Genomic DNA, 4095 nt, shown 5'->3' with positions numbered 1-4095 from the left:
ATAGGCCCAGGACGGGGGCATGGTGGGCCACAGTGGTCTTGGAAAATGCAACAGCCGGCGAAAGCAGGAGTGCCTGTCCTCACCTGGGCCCGTGGGGGTGGAGCCCTAGCCAGGGACCACACCCTCCCCTACTCAGCACTTCCCTTCCTCGGTTCCCTATCATTTAAAGGGACCACGCTCTTCCCTTCCCAGCACTTCCACACCACTTCTAATGGCAAGGAGAAATCATGGATGTAGATTGCAATAAAAACATGGTCAAGTGCTGCAACTCTTGTTGGTGTGAGGTTGATTTAGTATTGTAAAAACATACATTTGTGTAAGAAAACTACTGTTTATATTTAAATATTCCTTATGCTAAACCAAATGTGTTTATTTGTAAAAAGTATTAATATAGGGGTGGGGGAATATATTAATCTATATTTAGGTTTTTTAAAAGAAACTCTAACCTCTCGCAAGTTACCTTTGAACTAATAAGTCTGTTATTAATTTAGAGAGGGTAGAAGGGAGCTGTGCCTTTCAGGAGCTTGTTTTAATTTGTTGGGGTTTTTTGGTTATTTCTGTTTTTATTTCATTTATATATTTACTGCCAACATCAGTAGCCTCTGCCATCTGAGAAGGCCTGCTCATTCATTTCCAGTTTGGATGAAGTAAAAGATGACAGAGTTAGTAGAAAGCACATATGGTAAAAGAGAAGGCTCTTAAGAGATTTCTTCCTTCTCACACTGCCAGGCTGCCCTCCAGGGCTGGCAGATAGGCATCAGGACTTTGTGTATTTTGGTTTGTGTTCAGAGATAAGGGTATTTCTGCCATGATGCAGGAATGAGTGGAATTTAACCATTGTATTCATTACTGGAGTTTCAAATAACTTTGTTCTAGGTTTATTAAATTTCCAAAATAGTCTCTTAAGTTATACCAAATGCAAACTGTTTTTTTCCTGAAACCTTCTGATTGGTTACCAATATCCCAAATTCTCTTGTGACTGTTCTTAATTTTTTTCCCAAGCTCTTTGTTATAAAGAATGATTCACTGACTATATTTTTCTCAAAAGGGATGTTAAGCTTCAGCATTGGATTCTAATCATAATTCATGAGATATTTGAACATGCTATTATTTATCACACAATTACAAAAAGTTTAAGAATCCCGCCAATATATACCACCGGTCTAAGAATGTGTTAGGAGGTGGGCAAACTGATTTAATTTAAATACTTGCACAGATTCTTCCCTCTTTCCCAGGCCTTTACCCATGATTGAAATGCAAATGTTTGTTTTTAAAGCTTTAAAGCAATTTGGTTGGCTTTCTTTGACTGTATTTTTTTAGCCCTTTGGAATTTGCAATATCAGATATAACAGTACTAATACCAGAACTGAAAAGTCCAACTTGATGACATTTTCTACCTCACTAGAAGCCAGATAGAACAAACATCCCTTGGTAAGGAGGACTTAAATAAGTTTTTTGCCCAGTTATTCATACCCAGAACCACATATGGCAAGGCGGGGACCCATACTGGGTGCTAGTCAGAGGCAAAAAATTCTCCTGGACTTAACTCATCATTTGGGAATCTCTTAGAAAAAAAAAAAATTGAGAACAAAGTAGAAGTTTTTTGCTCTCCAAGCCCAAGGGAAAAGTTCATTGGAGAATCATATCAGAAAGTAGATTTTCATCAAGAAATCAAATTCGTGGCTCATGACTGTAATCCCAACACTTTGGGAGGCTGAGTCAGGCAGATCACTTAACATCAGGAGTTCGAGACCAGCCTGGCAAACATAGCAAAACCTCGTCTCTACTAAAATATACAAAAATGAACAGGGCGTGGTGGTTCATGCCTGTAATCCTAGCTACTTGGGAGGCTGAGGCATGAGACTCGCTTGAACCTGGGAGGCGGAGGTTGCAGTGAGCCGAGATCGTGCCACCGCACTCCAGCTTGTGTGACAGAACGAGACTCTGTTTTTTGGATTTTTTTTTTTTAAGTCAAATTCAAAATGGCCTTTCTACTTTTCTCAATTTGGAGTGTTTATGCACAAGGACAGAGTGGATACGTAGAGGCAATTCTCCCAAGTAACCTAACGGATGATTGTTCTGTGGGCTCACATCTAAAATAACCTGCACATTTCAGTGTAATTGGAGTTGGGTCTTGTTTTTGTTTTTGTTTTTAAAGAATAACTTACATTCTTCCTTCTGCCAGAAAGTATTTTAAGCAGGTTTCAATAAAACGTTACATACACAGTAAGTTTGTTAAAATAGACAGAAAATCAAAAAGCATATAAAAGGGGAAGTTTAAGATAGTTACTGCAACTGAACATTAAATTTAATTCTGAGCTTCCTTGCAGTTTAGGGAAAGAGTAAAAACAATGGGTTACATTGTTTTCTGCCTCCAGTGAAAGGAAGCATTTCACTGCTTCAGAAGATACTTGCTTTTTTCCTGCCACTGATTTTTAAGAGGGTTGTAGCCAATGAGCCCTTATATGCTTTACAGAAAATACAAAAAAAGGCCTTCATATGACCTTTTTCATCCCCAAACAAAATTTGGAAGCACAATACTAAAAATAAACCCAAGGAAAGTAAAACATTGCCACCCATAGGGGTGGGACTAATGAGATTAATGTGTTCTTTAAAAATCATCTCAAGGCACTAGGGAGTATATATTCTAGATTTCCTATAAGATAAAATGTCCCCGATGGCACTTTTTAAGTGTATATAAATATTCTTTTTCATTTACTTCGAATAAAAATAATGGCAAAAATAATGGCACTCACTTTCTGCATTGGTAGTTTTAAAAATTCTGAGAAAACTAAGAATTCTATAATAAAGGTACCCCAAAGTAGTCATGATAGCACATAACAGAACATGAGGCCCCCATGTGTGCTTAATATAATATGGAAATGAGTTTTCTCCTATATTACAGCTTGTCACAGAACTGTTTTTTGTTGGGGCTCCTTTATTTTTGAGAATGTAGTGAAATAATGAACACCATTATCCAGGGTTTGTTGACATAGAAAAGGGGAACGCTAAATTTATGAGTGGTCAGAGGAGTTTAGTGATCTCAGCAGTACTCCAGGTCGTAGCAGAACCAATTTGGATTTCTATTCTGAAGGCACTATATGGAAGGATCAAGATGGTTTCCCGTGGGCTCAAGCTTAGCTGTAGGGGAAAAAGTGACTCGGCCCTCCAAATTTAACTTAATTGGCATTGTGGGAAAACTTCTTTTCCACAAAGCAGCCCACACGGTGTACCCTTTGTAAACCAAGGACTGTTGTTGAGGGAGCTAAAGATGGGGCGTGGCTTTCTACCACAGTTTCCATGATCCGCCATCTTGGGCATCAGCAAAAGCCAACACAGCCACATCACACCAGGACAGAATGCTGAGGAAAATAAGATTCATTAAAAGAAGGGTTAGCTTTTAATTTATATATATTTAAAGGATTCCGTTGTTTTTCCTTTGGGGTTGTTCTGTCTTCATTCAAAGCTGCCTTATTTTAATATTTCTTTGAATTCCCAGAACAGTCATTCTTTTAGTTCTTTAGATAATCTCTTAGGTCATAATAACTTTCCAACAGTCACAGTACTTTGCAAGTTATTGAAGGATTTATTAAAGCATGTCTTATGGCCAGGCACAGTGGTTCACACCTGTAATCTCAGAACTTTGGGAGGCTGAAGTGGGAGGATCACTTGAGGCCAGGAGGTTGAGACTAACCTGGACAACATAGAAAGACTTAATTTCTACAAAAATTTAAAAAATTAGTCAGGCATGTTGGCATGTGCTTGTAGTCCTAGCTACTTGGGAGTCTCAGGCAGGAGGACTGCATGAGCCCAAGAGTTGGAGGCTGCAGCGAGCTATGATCACAGCACTGCACTCCAGCCTGGGTGACAGAGTGAGACTCTGTCTCTATAAATAAATAAATAAATAAATAAATAAATAAATAAATAAATAAAACATATCTTCTTTCAAGTATTTATTAAACAAACTTAAAAATATCCAACTAATACTAATTTTGGGGGACCTTGCCCTCTTTTTTTGTATTTCATTCTATGGCCATTGACTATTCTTCATTGGGCTCCCTGAACCATTCCTTGTGTATTCTAATGCAATTTCAT

General features: G+C 38.2%; 2 annotated features.

Moving 5' to 3' along the window:
* Positions 1370-1870: an enhancer, noted in NCBI's record as "H3K27ac hESC enhancer chr10:29429795-29430295 (GRCh37/hg19 assembly coordinates)". NCBI's record gives its function as "activates a minimal SCP1, AML or CMV promoter by ChIP-STARR-seq in primed H9 embryonic stem cells {active_cell/tissue: H9 hESC(primed)}" and the evidence as "EXISTENCE:reporter gene assay evidence [ECO:0000049][PMID:30033119]".
* Positions 1871-2371: an enhancer, noted in NCBI's record as "H3K27ac hESC enhancer chr10:29429294-29429794 (GRCh37/hg19 assembly coordinates)". NCBI's record gives its function as "activates a minimal SCP1, AML or CMV promoter by ChIP-STARR-seq in primed H9 embryonic stem cells {active_cell/tissue: H9 hESC(primed)}" and the evidence as "EXISTENCE:reporter gene assay evidence [ECO:0000049][PMID:30033119]".

This window comes from Homo sapiens, chromosome 10, assembly GCF_000001405.40.
Source record: "Homo sapiens chromosome 10, GRCh38.p14 Primary Assembly".
NCBI lineage: Eukaryota > Metazoa > Chordata > Mammalia > Primates > Hominidae > Homo > Homo sapiens.
The sequence above is the reverse complement of the archived record's forward strand: the minus strand, read 5'-3'. Positions and strand labels throughout refer to the sequence as shown.